The 22,416-nt window shown below is 50.3% G+C and overlaps 1 protein-coding gene across 13 annotated transcripts in view, besides 3 other annotated features; it reads left to right on the top strand.

Moving 5' to 3' along the window:
- The window catches only part of PAX5 (paired box 5), a 201,000-nt gene that overhangs the window by 52,075 nt on the left and 126,509 nt on the right, over positions 1-22,416 (top strand). For all 13 annotated transcript variants that reach the window (NR_103999.2, NR_104000.2, NM_001280551.2 and 10 more), the window contains one exon: positions 15,470-15,645. Coding sequence is in view for 11 of the 13 variants with exons in the window: in NM_001280551.2 (NP_001267480.1) it covers positions 15,470-15,645 (176 nt within the window). In the remaining 2 variants the exon portion in view is untranslated. The remainder of the gene's footprint in view (positions 1-15,469; positions 15,646-22,416) is intronic.
- Positions 1,267-1,766: an enhancer, noted in NCBI's record as "H3K4me1 hESC enhancer chr9:36980425-36980924 (GRCh37/hg19 assembly coordinates)". NCBI's record gives its function as "activates a minimal SCP1, AML or CMV promoter by ChIP-STARR-seq in primed H9 embryonic stem cells {active_cell/tissue: H9 hESC(primed)}" and the evidence as "EXISTENCE:reporter gene assay evidence [ECO:0000049][PMID:30033119]".
- Positions 18,830-19,820: an enhancer, noted in NCBI's record as "H3K4me1 hESC enhancer chr9:36962371-36963361 (GRCh37/hg19 assembly coordinates)". NCBI's record gives its function as "activates a minimal SCP1, AML or CMV promoter by ChIP-STARR-seq in primed H9 embryonic stem cells {active_cell/tissue: H9 hESC(primed)}" and the evidence as "EXISTENCE:reporter gene assay evidence [ECO:0000049][PMID:30033119]".
- Positions 19,821-20,812: an enhancer, noted in NCBI's record as "H3K4me1 hESC enhancer chr9:36961379-36962370 (GRCh37/hg19 assembly coordinates)". NCBI's record gives its function as "activates a minimal SCP1, AML or CMV promoter by ChIP-STARR-seq in naive H9 embryonic stem cells {active_cell/tissue: H9 hESC(naive)}" and the evidence as "EXISTENCE:reporter gene assay evidence [ECO:0000049][PMID:30033119]".

Genomic DNA, 22,416 nt, shown 5'->3' with positions numbered 1-22,416 from the left:
TTCCTGGGTTCAAGCGATTCTCCTGCCTCAGCCACCCAGTAGCTGGGCCTACAGGTGTGTGCCACCACACCTAGCTGATTTTTGTATTTTTACTAGAGGTGGGGTTTTGCCATGTTGGCCAGGCTGTTCTTGAACTCCTGACCTCAGGTGATCCATCTGCCTCGGCCTCCCAAAGTGCTGGGATTACAGTGGGGAGCCACAGGGTCCATCCCTTGTTCTTTTTAATTTAGCAAATGGCTTCTGTTTTCTTGTCCTCACTCTCAGTCCTTATTGACTCTTAGGAGGTGCTCACTGTGCAGACAGCACTCTCTCACTTGGAATCCAGCAGCTTGTTTGCTCTGACCAGTGCTGTAGGCCTGGCATGATTTATTGACCCCATTGCACAGATGTGTTGAGAGAAGTGTAAGATCACACAGCTGGCAAGTGGCAGAGCCAGAGCTTGCTCTCTGTGCTCCACCACTTTTGTCACTTAAACACTTCCAAGGCAGAGCCTCTTCCCTGGGGTGTCATTCATCCATTTACTGGCTCCTGATGTGGTGTCGGGCACTGTGGTCTCAGAGGTAGGTAAGGCCTGGGAGACCCCACTGTTTTCCCTCAGGGATTTTCCCTAGGGACCCCTTTGTTTTCCCTTAGGCAAGGCATGGAAGGGGAGCATCAGATGTCCCCTGGGAGGGTGTGGCCACTATTTCCCAGTAGGAGGTCACACCGGAGCAGCTGTCTCCCTTCTCCTTTGTACCTGTTTTTTGTTTTTTTTTTTTTGCCAGTTTCAGTGAAATTCACTCTACAAGTATTTATTGTGTGCCTGCTATGTGTGCTAGGTATTGTCCTAGTTGCTGGGGACACAGCAATGAACAAGACAGACAAAAATGTTTGCCCACATGAGTGACGTTCTAAGGAAGAAAGACAATAACTAAATAAGGAAAATAAGCAGCATGCTGTTCTATGCTCTGGAGGAAAACAAAGCTAGGTGAGGAGACAGGGAATGAAGCAGGGCTGAGGGGGGGGGGGCTTTGCTGTTTTTGGAGGGTGGTCCTACTGATGAGCTGACGTTTGAGCAGAGGCCTTAATGGAGGGAGGAGTGAGCCAGGCAGATATCTGGGGGAGGAAGTTTCCGGAGAGAGGGAACAGCAAGTGCAAAGACCCCAAGGCCGGTGAGCTTGGCATGACTGTGGAACCCTATGGAGGCGAGTGTGGCAGGAGCAGAATAAGCGGGGAAAGAGTGGGAGGAAACGAGGTCAGAAAGGTGGGATTGCTGGGGGGGTACCCAGTTAAGTACCAGTAAAGCCTAGTAAGCTGTGAGGGGCTGTGGGTTTTGCTCAGAGTGGGAGTAGACAGCAGCCTAGAACCTCCAACAGGGAACTTCAGAGGTGCATTTTCTCCCCTACCTCCAGTGAGTCACTCACTCCAGCATACCTTCTCTCCTAATCACCTCCCGAACCTGCCCCCTTCTCTGGATAGCCATTCCCACTGTTAGCTCTGTCCTGGCTGAGGGCTCCCACTCGACCCTGGGCCTCAGTCTCATCTCCCTCCAACAGGGTCTCTACACTGTGGCCAGATTAGACTGTATGACCCTCCTCCCCCAACCCTTCTGTGTCTGGAATTGTGAATGTATTGATATCATCAGACAAGGGACTGACTGGAACAGAGACTGGGGAATCTGGGATGTGGGGATTGGGGCTGCTGGTAAGTGGGTTGTCATTTTGTCTGGGAGGCAGTGCAATGCGGTGCAGTGGGTGGCCCAAAGCCCCTCCCCCAACCCTTAACCAGCTCCTAATCCCCAGCCCTGTCTCTGGCTTCGGCAATGGCTCCCCCCAGAGGCACCTGCTTTATTTATGGCTTCTCCCCAACTCCCCACAGGCAGAGGGAAGTCCATTAGTGTGTTTGCAGACTCTGCCAGCTCTGAGCAGATGCAAAGCTTATTTGCAGACTGTCATTGCCCTGGCCTCCTCCAGAGACTCTCATGCTGGGCTCAGCCTTGTGCCTCCAAGAGCCACCTCCCTCAGGCAGCCACCGGTGCAAGCCGCTTTCCTGATTTCCCTAAGCATAGTCTTGGCTTGGAGTTGGGAAAATTAAATTAAATGCCACGAAGGAACCATAGCAGTGCATTGGGCCATGTTGACAGTAGGGAATGAAGTCTTCTCTGTCGATAGGAGTTCATTGTTTTGACATAAATTAGGGAGGCATTGAGAGAAAGTGGAAAAAGTCTTGACCTGAGAACCTGGGACCCAAGTTCAAGTCTCTGTTAGGCTGCTGAGTATCCTGGTGATTTGGGGCAACAGTTTATTGCCTTCTGGGCCTCAGTTTCCAAGCTGCACAAGGAGCTGTAGACAGGCTTGGAATCCACTCCAAGCTCCAGAATTCTCTGATTTGAATTTTGGGGATGTTTCTTTCATCCAATGAGCTGGGGACAAAGTGATTTGTCCAAAATGGCTTGGTAATTCTGAAATTGCCTGGAGATTGGCCTCACTGGGGTACAAGGCACTGAGGAGGTGAGACACCAGGGCTCTCAGTCTCACCTGGCCTGATAACTCTGCTGTGTGACCCTGGGCAGGCCACTTTCCGTCTCTGAGCCCATTTTCTCATCTGCAAAATGGGAATCGTAATCTCCTGCCCATCTCCTGAGATTATCAGGAGAATCAGATAAGCTGATGAATGTTTCATATGCCACAGGAATATGTATTTGAGGGGTGCGATTGTTATCATTTTGTCGCTGTTATCCTTTTCAGATGTCTAGGCATGCACACTTGCCAGTGTAATACAAGAATATGCCCCTATAAGGTACAGAGCCCAAACACGTCAATTTAACTACATAAAAGGGAAATAATTGTGCTTCCATGAATAATGAAGAGCCCTTCTTATAATTTGTGCTTGTTCAGTTCCACACCCTCATAAATCCACCATTCCTGTGTGTGTGTTTGGTGGAAAAACACACCACAGACATACACAAAAGCCTCTTGAGTTCTTTTCAACTGGGACAGGAGATGACACACGTTGGCAGACAGAGGCTGATCTCTGTGTATCCAAGAGGAGTCGAGCCAGTCCGAGTACATCTAACAGGTCAAGCTCTGAAATGAAGAAGCAATAAGCCAGTGAAATGGTACTATCACCGAAACATGATTGATCAATTGAATTCTATCAGAGACAGTGGACAGTGAGATTAACTCAGGCCTGATAGGTTCAATGAGTTAAAGCATGATGTTCATTTCAGCTTCATTTCACCAGTCTTTGCTTGTGAAATTGGTCAATCAATAGAGGTTGAAGATCATATATATATATAGATATCGGGGACCATCTTATGGGGAATATAATCTTGGTAGTTGGCTCCTGGCTGGGGCTGCCTGCTGCGGGTAATGGAGACAGAACAGGGACTCCATCAGCCCCATCGAAATGGCCTGATATCTTCTCCAAATGAAAAGTATTTTTGGATCTCTGATGATTTATCTTTTTTTTCCTCCCTCTCACTTTGATCTATGACAAAACCCATACCCATCTTGGAGAAATTTAGTGATTTCTCCTGAAAACATTTGTGCAATGATCAGATAGATACACTTCAAATACGAACCTTCTTTTTAGTTATATCGTCCTTGGGAAAAAATACAGACAGTAATTTAAAAACTCAAATAGGGGTAATGCAAAGATATCAGAGTAAATATGATTTTTAAACCCTTTTATTTATTTATTTATTTATTTCTGTGCAGTGGGGGATGGGAGAGAGACTGCTGTGTGCATGAAGGCCATAAAAGGGATGTATGCATCCCTTCCAGGTCCTTCCAGGTATAATTAAAATGAAGCCTTTCACATTCTTTGATCTCATTTAAAAGCACAATTCACAGAAACAAATCACCCTTTTGCTCCTAGTAATATTTCATTTGCTTCAGAATATTTTCACTATGGCGGTTAACATCCTTTCTAATTAGTGTGCATATCCCTCTGTAAGGTGGAGTAATTAGGGACTACTGTATGAGGTAATGGACTTGGACAGTATGGATTAGAGAGAACAGACTTGCCCTGTGGCAATGCACCAGGTATTACTTCCTTTCTGCCTCTTGTTTCAGGTCATCTTGATTCATTTTAGCACAGAGAAATCCCATCTCTTCATACCAACACCATGAGAGCTTCAATAATGTATTTGCACTGTTTGTATATCAGAGTGTATATTAGGTTCTGGATAATGGATAGTGATGCTGAACAGCTCGACAGAGAGGGAAGAGCCTCTCACACTTCACTCCCTTTCCCCTCCTCCAACTCCTGAATTCTAATCATGCTGAATTATAGCCGTTCCCCTGCACCATGCTTTCTGTGCCTCCAGGCTGTTGCAGATGCTGTTCCCTCTGGTTGGAATGCAATTCCTCTTCCCTGGGCATTTCTTTGGCTAACTCCATCCTTAAGACTTAGGGTAAGGCTGGACATGGTGGTTCATGCCTGTAATCCCAGCACTTTGGGAGGCCAGCCTGGCCAACATGGTGAAACCCCTTCTCAACTTAAAATACAAAAAATTAGCCGGGTGTGGTGGTGCATACCTGTAGTCCCAGCTACTTGAGAGGCTGAGGCAGGAGAATCGCTTGAACCTGGGAGGTGGAGGTTGCAGTGAACCAAGATGGTGCCATTGCACACCCCAGCCTGGATGACAGGGTGAGACTCCATCTCACAAAAACAAAACAAAACAAAAAAACCCCAAAAAAAACAAACAAAAAAAGACTCGGGCTACAGGGGGCCTTTCTTGGGCTACACTTGCCCCTAGTCTGGATTAAGTGGAGTGAGTTAGTGTAGGGCTAGGAGCAGACTCTGGAACCAGACTGCTTGAGTTCGGACCCTAGCTTCTCCACTTCTTAGCTGTGTGATCTTGGGCAAGTTACTCTTTTTTTTCTTCCCTCCCCCCACCCCCCCAATCTTTAGATCTTGTGACTAGGCAAGTTATTTAACCCCCTGCCTCAGTTTCCTCATCTGTAAAATGGGAGGAAGCAATAACAGACTTGACATCTTAGGGTTTTTGTGAGGATCCAATAGGGAAGGTGCTTAGAACAGTGTCTCGCAGAGTGAGCTCTGAATAGGGTCTGGCCACTTGCATTAGGCTCCCAGGGCTGTGTCTGCTTCTCAGGCTCCTAGCACTTATCGCACTACATTGCAATTATTCACTTGTCTTCATCCTCCAGTAGGGGACGGGGCTAAGACTTGAAGCTCTCTCTAGCTCTGGTGGGAAGGGCAGGGCCAGATACCCAGTATGTAGCTCAGGGATCAACGGATCCAGGAGGCTTGAGGCAGGAGTCAGAGGCCTCATGTCCAAGCTCACCTTGAATCTGCTGTCTGGCCCCTGACAGATCCCTTTGCCATCTGGCCTCCCGTTTGCCATCCTCGAATGTGGAATCACCAGCCCTTGGGGCCTTTCCCACACTGACAGCCTGTGACTCATTGGGTAACACCCGGCACAATCGGATTCACTCTGGTCAAACCTGAACGTATTTGGCAATTTTACAATTTCGCATTTTCCTTCTCCAAGAAGAAAGATTGAGTGAAACAAATGGCTGAATAATGGTAGTTTCAGTGGAAATTTTCCTCCATGCCACCTTGATTTTTCTTAGTCTGCAGCCCCAGTTTAGGACAGGATTTAGAAAATGACTCAGAACATTTGTTTTTGTTCCAGGCTACCAAGGGACATTTAGAGCCTGGCCACCCTCATCCCTAGCATGGGGCCTGGCTCATAGTAGATGTCCTAGAAGCGTTTGCCAACTTAACCTGGTTGCCTGTACCCGGAATCCCATCTCTTACCTTGGCATCTTGTTTCCCAGGCCTGGCTCTGATCGTCCCTTCTCCAGGACCCCCCTCCCTGTTGTTAGTCATCTCTGGATCACTCTAAGCACCCCAAACAGCACCATGCAGAGAATAGAAGCTCTGTAATGAGTTTGAGCTTGAGTCTGTGAACAGCATTTTGTTGTTGTTGTTGGACTCTGAGCAATATATGACTTGCTGCATTTTCTTTTTGGTATATGCTGCCAGGGAGCTTAGAGCTCAACTGAGTTTAGTAGTTTATCATCCACTCTAGTTCAAAATTCTATGAACAGCCTCAAATCTGTCTTAGAAGTAGGCGAGACATAAACTCTTAGTTGTTTCACTTTTTCCTCCTCTGAGATCACTGATATAATAGAAGCCACTCCTGAGTTCTCTGATGATACCAGCGACTGTCCTAGTGCTGAATTCTTCTGAGCCATACAGCCCTGCAAGCCCTCAAGCCTTCCTAGCTTAATAATTCAGTCAACAAACATTCATTAGCATCTCCTATGCTTGAGGTAAATGGGACATGGGCTCTGCCCTCAGCTCATACTTTAGCAGGGGAAAAAAATACTAATTCTGGAAACAGCTAACGTTTATTGAGCACTTACTATGTGTCAGGGGTTATGCTAAGTATTTTACATGTATTCTCATTAAATTATTTTGTCAACTCCAGATACTATTATTATCCCACTCTACAGATAAGAAAATTGAGGATTAGAGCAGTTAAAGAAGTTGCTCAAGGCTGGGCGTGGTGGCTCACACCCGTAATCCCAGCACTTTGGGGGCCCAAGGTGGATGAATCACGAGGTCAGGAGATCAAGACCATCCTGGCTAACACGGTGGAACCCCGTCTCTACTAAAAATGCAAAAAATTAGCTGGGAATAGTGGCGGGCGCCTGTAGTCCCAGCTACTGAGGATGCTGAGGCAGGAGAATGGCGTGAACCCGGGAGGCGGAGCTTGCAGTGAGCCAAGATCACACCACTGCACTCCAGCCTGGGCAACAGAGCAAGACTCCGTCTCAAAAAACAAAAAAAAAAGAAATTGCTCAAATATCATGGGCTTGTGAGAGACAGAGTTCTGGAATTCGAACCCGGGCCCCCATGAGTTCAGAGTGCCTAGGCTTCCCCACTGTTCTGTACCAGGTCTGCCACAGTGCCCAACTTCACTTTAGCACATGTAGGAGCTGTGCAAGTGCTCTGCTGTGTTATCTTGGGCAAATTACTTCATCTCTCTGTGCCAGCTTCCTTAACTGTAAAGTGGAGGTTCCAAGAGGACTGAGTTCACAGAATGGTTTGTGAAGAGTAGAATCCAGGCCATAGTGGTGGCCCATGCAACGTGCTGAGGACACCCAGAAGAAAGGGTGGTGAATTCAGCCTTTGGATTTGGAGGCAGGCTTCAGAGAGGAGGCAGCTTTTAGACTGAGTCTTGCTGGGCAGGAGAGAAGGGCATGCCAGCAGAGGGAGCAGAATGTCCAGGGGCACTGGGGAGCAGTGGGGAAGAGACACATGAGGGCTGACAAACGGCCTGCTGGGATGGCATTGCGGGGTGAAGTGGGGGGTGACCCTGACTAGAGGGGCAGGTCGTCGAGGCCTCGGGGGCTCAGGCTTTGTCCCCGGGGAGCCTTGGAAGGGTTTTCTTGATGAAAATGAGGATGACAGCAGCTAGCATTATTTGGACACTAAACTCTCTGCCAGGTGCCGTGTTAAAGTGTCATGGAGATTATCTCATTTAATCCTTATAAAAGCCCCACGAATTGTCCTGCATACTGTTGTTTTCAGTTTACAGATGAGGAAACTGAGGGCTTTCATCTTAGCAGCTGACAGGAAGAGTAAAGGGAGGTGTCCTGAGTGCTGAATCTGCAGATAAGAGACCTAGGTACAAATCCCAGCGTTGCCACTTTGAGCTGAGGGACCTCAGTGACTCAAGCTCTCTGAGCCTCTGTTTTCTCATCTGTAAAGTGGAATAAGAATACATACTTCATAGAGATGTTCTGAAGGTCAAAGAAACTGAAGGATGCACAAATAACTTGGCTCAGTGCCTGACACTGAACAGCGCTCTATCCGGGGTGAGAACAGGGGGTGTGGGGAGCTTTGCAGCCCTGTTATCTAATGTCAGCCCCACTTCATTCTTTGCTAGGGACAGACAATGCTCTCTCAGTCTCGCACAAGGAGTTTTGCTAACATAGCCCCAGAACAAATCCCTTGGCTTCCTATCCCTTTTAAAAAATTATTTGGTTTTTTTTTAGAGACAGAGTCTTGTTCTGTCACACAGGCTAATGTGCAGTGGCACCATTGTAGCTCACTGAAGCCTTGAACTCCTGGGCTCAAGCAATCCTCTTGCCTCAACCTCTCAAGTAGCTGGGACTACAGGCCTGCACCACCACACCCCAGCTAACTTTTAAATTTTATTATTATTATTATTTTTGAGACAGAGTCTTACTCTGTTGCCCAGGCTGGAGTGCAATGGCATGATCTTGGCTCACCACAACCTCCGCCTCCTACGTTCAAGTGATTCTCTTGCTTCAGCCTCCCGAGTAGCTGCAGGCATGTGCCACCACACCTGGCTAATTTTTGTATTTTTAGTAGAGACGGGGTTTTACCATATTGGCCAGGCTGGTCTTGAACTCCTGACCTCAGGTGATCCGCCTGCCTTGGCCTCCCAAACTGCTGGGATTACAGGCATGAGCCACCATGCCCAGCCATTTTTAAATTTTTTTTTTGTAGAGATGGGGGTCTCGCCATGTTGCCAAGGCTGGTCTTGAACTCCTGGCCTCAAGTGATCCTCCCACCTCAGCCTCCCAAAGTGCTGGGATTATAGGCAGGAACCACTGCTCTCAGCCTGAAATAATCCTTTAAAGTTACAAATTAGCATGGTCTGAATTTGGTGGGTGTCTACTTTATAGGTTGTTTTGAGAATTAGCCATTGCAGCCACCTGAAGATGCCAATTCCAAGCTCATTGGACTCACTTGACCCAAACTGGAAAAATGCCCCAAGTCACATCATTTCATCTTGCCAGTCACCCCAGCTCTGTACTCCTGTGGCAGATGACCATCAGGACCTGCTCTGTCCCCCATCTTCACAAGGGAGGCAAGTCTAGGCATGCAGGCAGTGCCAGAGGCCTGTGGTTACAAGCAGCAAACTGGGCCGATCTAGAGACAGCCCTGGACCCTGGGGTAAGGTGGGGGTGTTGTAGTGCATAAAACAGGAATGGGATCTGGGAGTTATTTTCACAGTTTTTCCTTTCCTTTCCTTTCCTTTCCTTTCCTTTCCTTTCCTTTCCTTTCCTTTTCTTTCCTTTCCTTTCCTTTCCTTTCCTTTCCTTTCCTTTCCTTTCCTTTCCGTTCCGTTCCGTTCCTTTCCTTTCCTTTTCTTTCTTTCTTTCTTCTTTTTTTTTTTGAGACTGAATCTCGCTCTGTCAGCCAGGCTGGAGTACAATGGCACAATCTCGGCTCACTGCAACCTCCGTCTCCTGGGTTCAAGAGATTCTCGTGCCTCAGCCTCCTGAGTAGCTGGGATTACAGGCTCCCGCCACCACGCCTGGCTAATTTTTCTATTTTTAGTAGAGACGGGGTTTCACCATGTTGGCCAGGCTGGTCTCGAACTCCTGACCTCAAGTGATTTGCCTGCCTCGGCCTCCCAAAGTGCTGGGATTATAGGCATAAGCCACCGTGCCCAGCCTATTTTCATAGTTTCAAACAGCTTAAGAGTAAATATATCCCTGTGAAGAAAAAGGATTTATTCCTGTCTCTGACTTTCCCCCAGCACTCCCACCACCCCCAACCAACAGGCCTCTCATCACAGGAGTGCTCATTCAAGAGGATGGGATCCCCTTGGTTGGCTCAGGCAGTCTCTTAGCGGTGGGATGGATCATAGCCAGGGAGTCCCCTATAAAGACTGCACAACAACCAAAATGGGAAAATAAGTCAATGCTCATTTAATACTACTTAGCACACAAAAATCTAGGTGGATTTTGGTGGAGAAAGGGGTTAGAAATGACCAACTCAGCTACCTTAGCTTACTACTGGGGTCTCTGAGGCTCAGAGAGGGAGAGGAACTTGCCTGGGCCCACACAGCAAGTAACAGCAGAGCTGGGGCTAGAACCCGGGACTGCTGGCTCCCAACCCTTTTCCCACTGGGCCCTGCCACGGCCCTGCCATGCTAAGGAGCAGCTGTGAGGATGAAGGAAGCTGTATAAGGGCTCTGGCTTTGGCCTGGGTTCTGCAGAGAAACTGGACTCTGAGAAAGGCTGGAGGCTGACCTGGCGGCTCTAGCCTCTTTTCCTGGGGCTCTTCAGCCTCCAGATGGGGTTACATCCCAAAAGCCATGATGCTAGGAGGGATTTCAGAGATTCCTGTTTGTTTTTATATTTTCCTCCTAGTGAGCATCTGCAGACATAAAGCGCATGATGATTTTTAAAGAAACAAACCAGAACCCTCCAAGAAAAATGCAAAACCCCTGAATCTGCTGTGCTCTGAAGAAAATGCAATGGGTTTATGATCTTTTAAGACACACAAGAGACAGCTTTCTCTTGACAGATGGGAATCTGAGGCTATTTTGCTTCTTCCCTTTTTGCGTGACCAGACCCGATTGTGTAAAGCTTTTAGCTTCAAAGCTGGGTTGTGAATAACATTGGTTTAACCTGAAATTTAAAGCCAGCATTTCTTTGCTCCCCGAGACGGGGCTTCCTGCCCCTTGCTCCCCTGAAGCTAGCTTCCAGAATGTTAATTCTACGAGCCATGGTTGACTAAGCCCAGCACTGGGTCTATTACATATTATTTGACTTGGAGTAGAAAAAAAAGATTTAAAGATACCATGCCCCCTGTACACCTTTGTACTTTTGCCCGTGTCTGTCCATATATTTAAGCATACCATTCACTTTGTGAGTTCAGACTTTTCTCCCTGGAATAAAATGGGTCTGAGCATTTCTGTAGCCTGCCTCCAAGACCACATTCTCCAATTAAGTCAGACAGCATCTTCATGGTGCAGATGAGAAATGCTACGGAAGCTTACACTGGAGGCCTGGAGGTTCAGACCTGCCCTTGTGCAAGGGCTGAGTTTTGGGATTAATTTTTATAGCTGTCTCTGAGCATATAATCTGTTTGTTGGTTCATTCTCACTGAGTACCCACTGTGTGCGACACCAGAGGCAGGACAGAGGGTCCCCTCTTAAGACCATGCGCCTTTTCAGTCAGAGTACTTATCTTGGTTGATACTTGTACCTTTACTAGTCCGATTATTTTTCAGTTACTGTTTGCCACCTCCTCTGGACATAACTCCATGAGGACAATGGCTGGCTCAGCTTTTGCCCATCACTGTGTCCCTGGCATTAGCACTCACTAAGCTTGGTGGAGGGAAGAATGATGAATGTGTGAGGTCAAATGGAGGGATCCTGACATTTTCAGACAGACATGCAGAGTGATGGTGCTTGTCACACTTGTCACAGGTAGTACCAATTCATTCATTTATTCCACAGATATTCGCTTTGGAGGAGAGAGAGATGAATTACCTCCCACCTTTACCCCGAAGGTAGCTCATAGCACAGTGTGGGAGTGAAGGGCCCAGGGGATGTGGTTCCTAAAATAAGGGAGAAAGTGGTCAGAGCCCTAAGAATGGGAGCTGGAGGACCAGCTGGGGCATGAAGGAAGGCATCCTGGAGGAGGAGACATGTGTGCTTCTGGCTGTGTCTGGAGAACAATGCCCGTGTCCATGGGAGATGGTTTCCATTCCATATGGGCACAGTGAATCACCTGCGGCTGAACAGGTGACTCAGCAGATCCACCTTCAAACACCCACAAATGCAAGCTCCTACCTCCCCTGGCCCCTAGTTTCTACCAAAAGAGGAGGCTTGGGAGCAGAGTTTAGAAAGCATGGCCTGACCTGAAGGAACGAGCGATTCGGGCCCTGGGACTGAGAAATGTGGAGGGCACATGTTTCCCCAGCCCTTCCCGTAGCTCCTCAAGACTCCTGCAGCAAGGCTCAGATCCTCTCTCTGGCCCCTGGGGCTGTCTGGCTCAATCCCTCCCAGCCTCTCCAGATTCTCCTGGGGCCTCTTCCCTCTCTCCCTCTGTTCCTTTCACCCCCTTCTCTCAGGGCCTTTGTACGAGCATCTCCTCAGTCTGGCACCCTCTCTGCCCCATCCCCTCTCCCTGGTCACTCCTCACGGTTCCATGCAGTTCCTCTTGGAGACTTCCCTGATTCCTCCCACAGGAGGCCACTCCCCTCTCCATTACACATGGTCACATGGATATATTTTTATGCTCTCTTTTCACCCTAGCATCAGTCACCGTTGTTTGTAATCCTATGTTTATTCCTGTGATCACTTGACTAAAGTGGGCTGCCCTCTCTAGACTGGAGAGAGAGAGGCTTGTCTTGGTCATCACTGTATCCCCTGTTTTTGTTTATTTTTAAAATATATTTACTTAAAAAATATTACCTGATACAGAGTAAATATTTTATCAATATTTGTTAAACCAATGAATAACTAATTATGTGTTTTGGAGTGTCCAAATCCTTCTTAAGGAAATGACAGACACTATTGCCATTATTTCCCTAGTAAAGAAAGCAAGCGAGGTGCTGGTGGGGTGAGAGTGGTGAGGGGAATCGCGGGACAGGGTGAATGCCCGGAGAGGCAGGCTCTGCCCAGCTCGCAGCCCTTCGAGGGCAGTCCACCCACCTCGGCCTCCCAGGTGCCAGAATTACAGGCATGAGCCACGGCGCCTGGCAGCCTAGATATCCTTACAGGCTCAGCTGGCAGAGGCTATGGCTGACTCTCAAAGAACCAGAGCAGGACGCAGCCAGTCTGCTTCTGGGGAGACTGCAGAGAGGGGCGCGTGTCCAGCGAGGCTGCCTGTGCTGAGTCTGTGTGGTGTCCTCAGGGGGAGGGTCTCCTAACACCCCCTGTGTGTACACTTGAGGGCCTGTGTGCCCTGAGCCTTTACTCTGTGCTGGGCTCTACTGGGTGACCAGACAGTGACCTTGCCCCCAGGGGCCCTCAGTGGAGCCACCCTCTCTGAACTTTGGGCTCTGAGCTGTGGAAAGAGCCTGGCCCATGAGTCCCGGGGGAGAGGGATCAAGCCTGAGGACTCCTCTGGGAGGATGGCCTGGCTGGCTGAAGAGACGCCCCCTAGAGGGGCAGAGTTGAGGGGATCTGATGGAGCAGCCTGGGTGGGCCGGAGGAGCTGGGCACTGCCCTGCTGGGGACAGAGCCAGGCCTCAGCGGGAGTTGTTAGGAGATGGCTGACAGGAAGGAGGTTTCACTGAGTTTTGGGCCCGGCTGGCAGGGTCAGGGCTGGGAAGTATAACTGAAGCTGGTGGAGGGAGAAGCTCTTGAAAGTGGATGGGCCCCTTCTGACAAGGAGGAACTTGGTGGTGTCCTGGGGACCAAGGCCCACGTCATGCTTTAGCAAGAGTGACTGGGACCAGGATGACTGGGCAGAGCCACAGCTGAGTAGGAAAAACTGAGCCATCTTTCCTGGTGTGCGTGTGCGTGTGCATGTGTGTGTGCATGTGTGTGTGTGCATAGAACCTTTGAGAAAAGGATCATTTGGTGGGTGCTGACCAATGGAAGAACACTGCTGGGCAGATAGACTGGGCCGTGAGCTCCCATACCTGCTAGTCTAGGTGACCTTGTGGGAATGGTCCCCATGGGGATGGGCCATGATGGGAGAAGGGTCTCTGAGGATGATGTCCTGTGGGCAGGAGCAGGCACCTGTCTTGTGGAAGGCCAAGGTCATGGGCTGCCAGAGGAGGGGCCTAGGCTTCAGGCTGGGGAACGTTGGTCAGAGAGACCAACTTCTGCCTTGGCCCACATGTGGGGGTATCTGGTCACTCAGGCTGTGGCCCAGCCTACAGTATCCTCTTGGGTCAAAATTGGTGGGGAATCCATTTTCTCAGAGGGCTCATGAGCTGCCTCCGAAGGCCCTTCCTATAGAGGATGCTGGGTCCTCTGAGCCTGTTGACTTCTACGAGGGATCCGAAAGGCCAAAACTCAAAGCTGCTATCTTTGTTCAAATGTCAGCCCTGCATTGCAGTTGTCCCCAGATAAGTACAGTTGAGGAAGCATTGACTTCTGACTGAGTCTTGGTGACACCACATCTCACTGCTTCATGGTCTTTAGTCTGGCCTCATTCCTCACATGGGTGGGAGCTTGACGTGACGGATGAAGTCTAGTCTAGGGCAGCAGTGCACTGGTGGGGGCAGGGGTCAGACAAGGCCTTGAGTAAGGGCACCTTTCAGCATGAGAGCAGACCCACGCTGGTTTTCCCCAGGGCTTCCTGACTGCAAAGGCAGATGCCTCACCTCTGGGCCTGGGTTTCAAGAAGCCTCTGGTCAGCCTTGCGTGAGCAATATGGTCCCAGAGAGCCCCGGGGAATGATGTACCCCCGAGGCCATTTCCTCACGGGAAACATTTGCCCTCTGTGCTTGATTTTATTTTGAACAGTTCAAGCTTGAGACTCAACAGAAGATATTTCATCCCATTTGTTTCTTTATTGATAATTCGTAATATTTCTTTTGACATGTAAGCATCATCACCAGAGACTGTTACAGTGTGAATAGCTAACAATACAGAACACAGAGGGAATTTAATCTTATACTTAGTTAATTTACATTTTGTAATAAGCAGTACATTCAAACTTCTGAAACCAAACCAAACCAAAGAAAAACATGCCATGAAAAGTCTCTCCCCCTCACCTCCACTCACTCACTTCCTACCTCCCTGAATGAGCAACCACTGTAAATGTTTCTCATATATCCTTTGGAGAGATTTATATTGCACATCGTCTTATTTTCTTCCTTTTTTACACAAAAGGTTGTACATTATACATGCTGTGCTGTACCTTGTTTTTTATTTTTTAACATAACAATGTATCTTGAAGATCTTTTCATATCAATTCACAGAAGGAAGCCTCATTCCTTTTCAGCTGCTGCACAGTTTTCCATTATGCAAGTATGCCTGGCTGAGTTAACCAACCCCCCACAAATAAACTCTTGGGTTGTTTCCAGTCTTTTGCTACAAGAACCTTGTACATACATCACTTCTCACATGTGTAAGTTGAGCTGTAAAATAAATTCCCAGAAGTGCAATCGCTATATCAAAGGGAATGTGCATTTGTGGCTTTGATAGATTTGTCGACTTGTCTAGCACAGGTGTTGTTACCACTTCCACCAGAATTGTATGAGAGTCCCGTTTTCCTACAGTCTTCCTAGCACAGTGTTTCACTGACCGGTCACATGATGTGGTAGCAAATGTCCAGGGTAAGGACCTCAACTCTGGGAAAAACTGTACCTCCCGGGAAGGTCTTTAGGACAGGAGGGGCAGGAGCACCGGATGACTAAGCCTGTGGGTCAGCCCAAGCTCGAATCCTCAGGCAAACCAATAAATCTCTCTAGGTCTCAGTCTTCTCATCTGCAAAGTGGGGAAAATAACCTACCTTGAGGGTCATCATGAGGATTAGATGACATGATGCCTGTCAAAAGGGCTTTGCACAGTCCCTGGCACATGGCTGCGGGAGGCTGACTCTGAACTTACCAGCAGGTGACCTTGGGAAAGGCAGTGCCTTACCTGAGCCCCTGCTGGTGTATTCTCTGGTCAGGGAGGGAGTTGGGGTCAGGTCCTCTTCATAGTCTCAGGGTCTGACCTGTCTTTCTTTAGCAACGTGTATAACCTCCACTCACCCTTCCTCTCTCCTGCTCATCAAAGGTATTCAGGAGTCTCCGGTGCCGAACGGCCACTCGCTTCCGGGCAGAGACTTCCTCCGGAAGCAGATGCGGGGAGACTTGTTCACACAGCAGCAGCTGGAGGTGCTGGACCGCGTGTTTGAGAGGCAGCACTACTCAGACATCTTCACCACCACAGAGCCCATCAAGCCCGAGCAGGTACGCCTCGTGATGCACGCCCACCACACCTGCCACCGCCACACCGGCCCAGCCAGGTTCCTGAAGGCAGAGGCATCTGGCGGGGTGTGGGTGAGGGCACACCAGGTTCTGCTCAGAGAGGTCTCTTCAGTGTTCTTGGCCAAACTTGGGCAGTCGCTACATCCTATAAGGTCGGGAGGGCTTGTCTGGGCCTCCAGTGGCTTCTTGCCCTGGTGCCTCTGTCGCTGGCCAGCCAGGGGGTGGGTGACTTCTCTGGCTGCTCTGGTGTCCTTTCCAAGGGCTCTTTGGACAGAAGGGTGTAATGATCTTTCGGGCCACGTAAGGTGGTCTTGGGTCAGTATCTTGTCAGTCAGGGTGATGGTGGAAATATGTAACCAGCACGCGGCCTGGGGGCTCACCGGCCGTGAACAATGGAATGACGGAGCGGGTGGGTATCCCACTGTCTGCCCTCTCACCAGGTCGCCTTGTCATTCTCTTAGTGACTGAATCCAAAATTCTGGAGATAAAGAAATGTCTCATTGCACAAACTCCCACCTGGGTTATTTGCAAGAGAGGGAGAAAGCAGGAGGACCAGCCCTGGCTGACCGGCTGTCTGCTATACCCTGGGCAGAGTAGTCACTACCTGTGGCTATAGAGATGAGATCACGAGGCTCGGCCCAGTGAGAGGCTCTTGAGGCCTGACTAAGATCTCTGGACTATCAGATTCAGTTCATAAGACTATTTCCTGACACCCAGTGTGTGCCAGGGCCTTGACAGGTAACCTTGCAGGCTAGACATGGCTCTGGACTGCCAAGAGCTCCCACCTGGTGGGCCAACCAGAGAGACCCTACAGACAACAACTTTCCTCGGCACTTTCCTCGCTGGTACTAGTGGTGAGAACTGGCTGCGCTGAGTTTCCTCTAAATGCTAATTAGAGGATGCTTCTGAATCTTCTCCAAAAAGTCAGTCCAAGCAGTGTAGCCTCCCTGCACAGCTCCCATGGAGAGGCGAGGTGCTGGAGAGAACCGTGTGGTGAGGGAAGAGCAGGGCCTCTGGGGCCACCCATCTATGACAGTCTGTCTGTGTCTGAGCAGTTTCTATGAGAGCTCTTACAGACCTTCTAGCCACTTTGTTTTCAGATGGTAAAACCAAGGTCCAGAGAGGCAGAGCAACTTGCCTAAGGCCACGCTGCAAGACGCATTCACATAACAAATATGATGAGTGTTTACTTTGTGCAAGGCCTGGAGCCATGCACTGGGTCACATCAGTGAACAAGATGGTCTTGGACCTCCCCTCAGGGAGCCTACAGACTTGTGGAAGAATCCCAATAGAAGAATTACCTAAAGGGTCATGGGTTACAGGTGCGCTTGGTGCTAAGGAGGAGGTGTCTGAGGTTCTCTGAGAGCCTAAAGGAAAGGCTGAGCCAGCCTGGAGGCCTCAGTGGCCTCCTGGGGGAAAGGTATTTATGCTGAGCCTGAAGGGGTTGAGTGGAGCAAGGAGAAGGGGTGTGGGGGTGGAGGGAAAGTGCCTGGCAGAGGGGACAGCAAGTGCAAAGGCCCTGAGTTGAGAGGAAGGCGGCAGGAACGAGGAATGGAGAGAGCCGGTGTGGTTGTGGCTCAGGGATGGGCGGGCGATGATGCTGGGGAGGTGGGCCTGGTCTTGTAGACTGGGTTGAGGATTTTAGTCTTTCTCTTACAAGTCGAGTGACACCTCTGTTGGGTAGGACATGGTTATGGTGCTGGGCATAGCCGCCCCCACACACTCTAGATCTTGGACTTCAGGGAGGAGAGTCTGTTTCTATCACAAGCACCCTCTCTGCTCTGCTCAGAGCCCTTCTGAGAGACGGCAGAAGGCACATTTTCTCTGACACGGGAGGAGAGTGAGAGGGGCCTCGATCAGGAAACCTTCCTGGATGAGGCCTGTCCTTCCCTCCAGAATGTGGAAGAAAGTTTATCTTCTTTTTTTTTTTTTTTTTGTGAGCTGGAGTTTTGCTCTTGTTGCCCAGGTTGGAGTGCAGTAGTGTGATCCTAGCTCACTGCAACCTCCACCTCCTAGGTTCAAGTGATTCTCCTGCCTCAGCCTCCTGAGTAGCTGGGATTACAGGTGCCTGCCACCACGCCCGGCTAATTTTTTTGTATTTTTAGTAGAGATGGGGTTTCACCATGTTGGCCAGGCTTAGTCTTGGACTCCGGACCTCAGGTGATCCACCCTCCTTGGCCTCCCAAAGTGCTGGGATTATAGGTGTGAGCCACTGCGCCCAGCCAGAAGGTTTATCTTTTTTCTTTTTTTGAGACAGAATCTTGTTGTGTCGCCCAGGCTGGAGTGCAGTGGCGCGATCTCGGCTCACTGCAAGCTCCACCTCCCGGGTTCGCGCCTTTCTCCTGCCTCAGCCTCCCGAGTAGGACGGACTACAGGCACCCGCCACCATGCCCGGCTAATTTTTTCTATTTTTTAGTAGGGGCAGGGTTTCGCCGTGTTAGCCGGGATGGTCTTGATCTCCTGACCTCATGATCCGCCTGCCTCGGCCTCCCAAAGTGCTGGGATTACAGGCATGAGCCACTGCACCCGGCCAGAAAGTTTATCTTCTAATGGCTGACAAGATCATGTAATTTTAGGGGTAACAGGAGCCACAGAGGCAAGATTTCAACCTGTTGTTTTTTTAGAGGCCCAGAGAGAGGACAGGGCATGTCTGAGGTCACCCAGCAAGTGAACAGGGAAGAGCGGGGATCCAGGCCTCTGCACTCCACCTGGCCTCTGCAGCACAAGTGTTTCTGTGAACCCCTTATTCACACAGACACTCCGTGTGAGACTCCCTCTGTGTTTCACATGACCGTCATGGAGACTCAGAATCTGCACCATAACTCCTTTAGCTCAGAGTGCCCAGGAAGACCACGCAGCCTGCAAGACCTCATCCCTGAGTGGTCTGGAAGCCGCCCATGGATTCACTCACTCACCTGCTCACATGCCACTCCTCTAACTTCTTCCCTGAACGTGGGCTGGGAGCCAGGCACAGTGCCAAGTGCTCATCAGCTCTGTCCAGTCTCGCAGGGGCAGCGTGCTGTGGACTCAGAGCCCGCAGGACAAGAGAGACTGTTCAGAGGGTCCTGATGAGGTGTCAGCCAGAGAGGGGGATGTTACCTGGGTTGGGAGCATCAAGGACAATGGCACTGAGGGGGCAGTGTTGGATGGGGGGCTTGAAGGACAGGTCCCATGGGCTCATGGAGAGATGGGGTCTGATGGGGAGGAGACCTGATTACAAACTCTGTGAGGACTCAGCATCTCCAGTGTCCTTCAGAATGAGCAGGCACGTCTGCAGGCCTGTCTCTGACTGTGCGCTCTGAGACGGCGACTGCAGGCGAACTGTGTGGCAGGATAATGACTGACCCAGTGTTTTCTGGTTAATCTGCTTCACCTCCCTGTAATGTGTTTTAATGAGGAGAGATGGAAGGTGAGGAGACGGGGCTGCCCTGCACCCACACACAGGCACTGGACTATGAATGACATACCCTCGTGCCCGATTCCCAATCACTTTGGACAAATGATGCCTGAGCAAGGGGCCGCAGGCTGGGAAGGGATGTCAGTCAAGGGTACAGGTTCCTTGAGCCCCTCATGCTAGCTCTCCAAGAGGTGAATGTTCCACAGGCCTCGCCTGTGAGCCCCAGCGTGGCATGGCGGTGGTGACAGGAAGGGGGCCTGAGGTGCTGGCCGCGGAGGCTGGCTGCCTCTTCCATTTTCGAGCAGATTGAGCTGTCTCAGTGTGTGTCTCTGTGGCCTAGTGCCCTGGATGGGGGCCTTGCTGTCACTTTCGCTGAGCAGCTTGGTGGGGAACAAAGAGCACTTACTGGCCTTGGGGTCGGGAAGCTTGATTTGAGTCCTAGCTCTGCCCTGCCGAGCAAGTCACTATTTTTCTGGGCCTCAGTTTCCATATCTGTGGTAGAAGTGATCATGATTTTGATGACGACAACAACAAGAACAGCTGCAGCAGCCGAAACCGAACGTGACGACAGCGATCCTCCTCACCTACACACCACAGCGTTCAGTTCACAAAGACCGTTCACATCCATCCTCTCATTGGACCCCCGAGGCAAATGCCTGCCAAACAGGCTGGGCATGATTCGGGAGCCCCATTGTATAGACTAGAACATTTTTTTTCACAGATTGTTTATTCAAGGAGTTTCCAAGATTGTTGAACCGCAGAGCTGGAATCTCATCTCAGGGTCTTCTGTCTTCATCTCATGCAAGATGGTTCCATGGGCCTCCAGGTCCAGGACGATTCCAGGGGCCAGTTTTCTGGCTAGCTGGTTTCCAGACCTGGCCTATTTCAGTCAGAGTCTGCCTGTCATCCAGAACTCTCAGAACTTGCCATAGGTTTGGAGAGGCCACATCCTCCCGGATCCTCCCACCCTGTCTCCCATGGGAAGAACATTCCTCATTGGGGCCAGGCAGGGGTCCTGACAGTTACTGCTGTTAGCTCGGAGCCTGCCCCACTTGCAGCTTTTCCCGCCAAGATCTACCTGGGTGGGTGGGCCCAGGCTGCTGGCTTTTGTAGGGAAATGTAGTAAACGCTTTGCCCTGGGTGGAAGGCGTTAATGTTGACCACGCCTGGGCAATGAAACACTTCCTTTTCAAAACGGTTATTGAAAAAGCAATTCTGTTTTCCCTACATATGGAGTGAGTAAAAATCACGTTGGAGGAAGAAAAGAAAAGAAAGCTGCTGGTGGCGAGTGTGTGTGCGTGCACGTGTGTATGTGCGTGCGTGTGTGTGTGTATGTTTCCAACAGTGGTATCTGTTTCAGTAAAACTCCCGTTGACGTTGTCGTCGGCGCAGCGCTCCTGTTGGGAGCGGGTCCCTCCTCCGGCGGCCACAGGAAGGCTACGGAGCATAGCCTGCCGTATTTACTCTCGGCAGACTATTAACCAACACCAGGCTATTAATCTGGCTTTTGAGCCTTCACTAAAGCCCATAAAAGCTCACAGTTGTCAAATGGAGTTCATTTTAATTTCCTTTCAATCACAGTAAATTATTCAGGTGATAAATCAGCTGGAGCAGCCTCCTGGCTGTAATAGAAACCCTAATTCCTGGCTAATTATCCATCCCATTGCTGCCAATAGATCAATACGGGTGCAAAATGGAACGGGCCAGGGCCCTCCCTCCCATTGGGCCAGAGACAGAGAGACAGCTGGGGAAGGGGATGTGCTGCTGACCTCCCAGGGAGTTCAAAGGTCACAGGAGGTTAAACTGGGAGAAGATCTGCCCCTTGTCTAACAGAGAAAACCACTAGAAATGCCTCCTGCTCTCATCAGCTGCTTTGCCCCCTCAGTGGTGGCACCTCTCCAGGCTGGTGGGCCGAACAGCATTGCCTTCTCCTGTGGGCATCCTGTTCCTGGGAAGGGGCTGGTTTGTGCTTCTGAGCATGTTGAGCTTGGTCATCAGGGATGGCCTGAACCTCGACCATGAGGCAGAAAAAGGGCTGGGTACCCTGGGGAGAAAGAGGATGTGGTTTTTTTCTTCAGAGAGCTCATTTTCCTTCATTATGGATCTGTGTCCCACCATGAGGAGGAGAGGAGGAGAGGAGGAGGTGGGGAGACAGGTGGGCCAGGCTGAGAAAGAGGAAGGCTTCCTGGAGGAGGTGCCTTGAGGGAAGGGCAGAATGCAGCCCCGTGGCAATAGCAGATGGCGGGCTGGAGAAGGCATTCTAGGCCGAAGGAGCAGCACAGGCAAAGGACTGTGGGAAGAGAGGAATGCAGGTGTGGGCAGGGAGCTGCAAGGGGGCCTGGATGGTTGAAATGGGGGTCAGTGACAGGAAGTCAGGTACAATGGGGTGGAGGAGCAGGAGGGGACCTCAACCACAGAGGGGTGGAACGCAGAGATGAGGTGTGACTGCTTTGAGGGCAGTGTGTCCCAGAGCCCGGGATCTGTGGCCTGGATTATTCTGCTCACCTTGGAAGCAACCTTCACTGGGACTTCTTGCCTCTCGTCCTGTTCCTGCGACTACCGTTGGATCTCTTTCTTCTTGAAGCCTACCTCCTATAAGAGTTCCTCATGGTTTCCCACCATTGAAACCCAACCCCGGACCTTCATCCCCATCACGCCCCTTCACCGTCCCCATGTCCCTCTGCTTGCTCACAAGACCCTCGGGCTGTGGCCAGGCCTGACCTTTCACTGCCCACACAGGCTGGGCTGCTCCTGTGTCCAAGGGGGCTGCTGCCCATGACCCAGCCTCTCCCAGGGCTGGCGTGTGCATGTGTGTATGTGCATGAACGTGTGAATCCCAGGTGAGGCTCTGAGCGTGTTTCGTGACAGGTACTACAGTTATTACTTTCTTAATTTTGTGGCTCACTCTCTAAGCTGCTGCTCACTGCTTCCCTGCCTGGAACATTCTTTCAGCCTGTTTCTAAATCCTACCCTGTCCGGGCCCAGGAGGAGTCCTGCCTGCCCTGTGAGGCCTTCAATGGCCCTGCACCAATTCGGCCTGCACCAACTTGTCTCTTATCTGAGCTCATAAATATATTGGGTTTTAGTGATTGCTGTAGTAATTGCTGTAGCTACTATGTATTCATTGCTTATGGCATGCCTGGCTCTGTTCTGAAAAGACTCTTACTTACCCCACCTCATTACCAAGTCACAACAACTCCCATCATCCCCGTTGTGCAGGCAGAGTAGCTGAGGCTTGGTGAGATGAGTACAGTGGCTTAGCCAAGGGCACACAGTAAATATGGGGCCAAGATCATAAGCCAGGTCCTTGCCTCCAGAGCCCAGGCTGGTGGCCATTGGGGTACCCCCCAGTTGCA

Source organism: Homo sapiens, chromosome 9, assembly GCF_000001405.40.
Source record: "Homo sapiens chromosome 9, GRCh38.p14 Primary Assembly".
Lineage (NCBI taxonomy): Eukaryota > Metazoa > Chordata > Mammalia > Primates > Hominidae > Homo > Homo sapiens.
The sequence above is the reverse complement of the archived record's forward strand: the minus strand, read 5'-3'. Positions and strand labels throughout refer to the sequence as shown.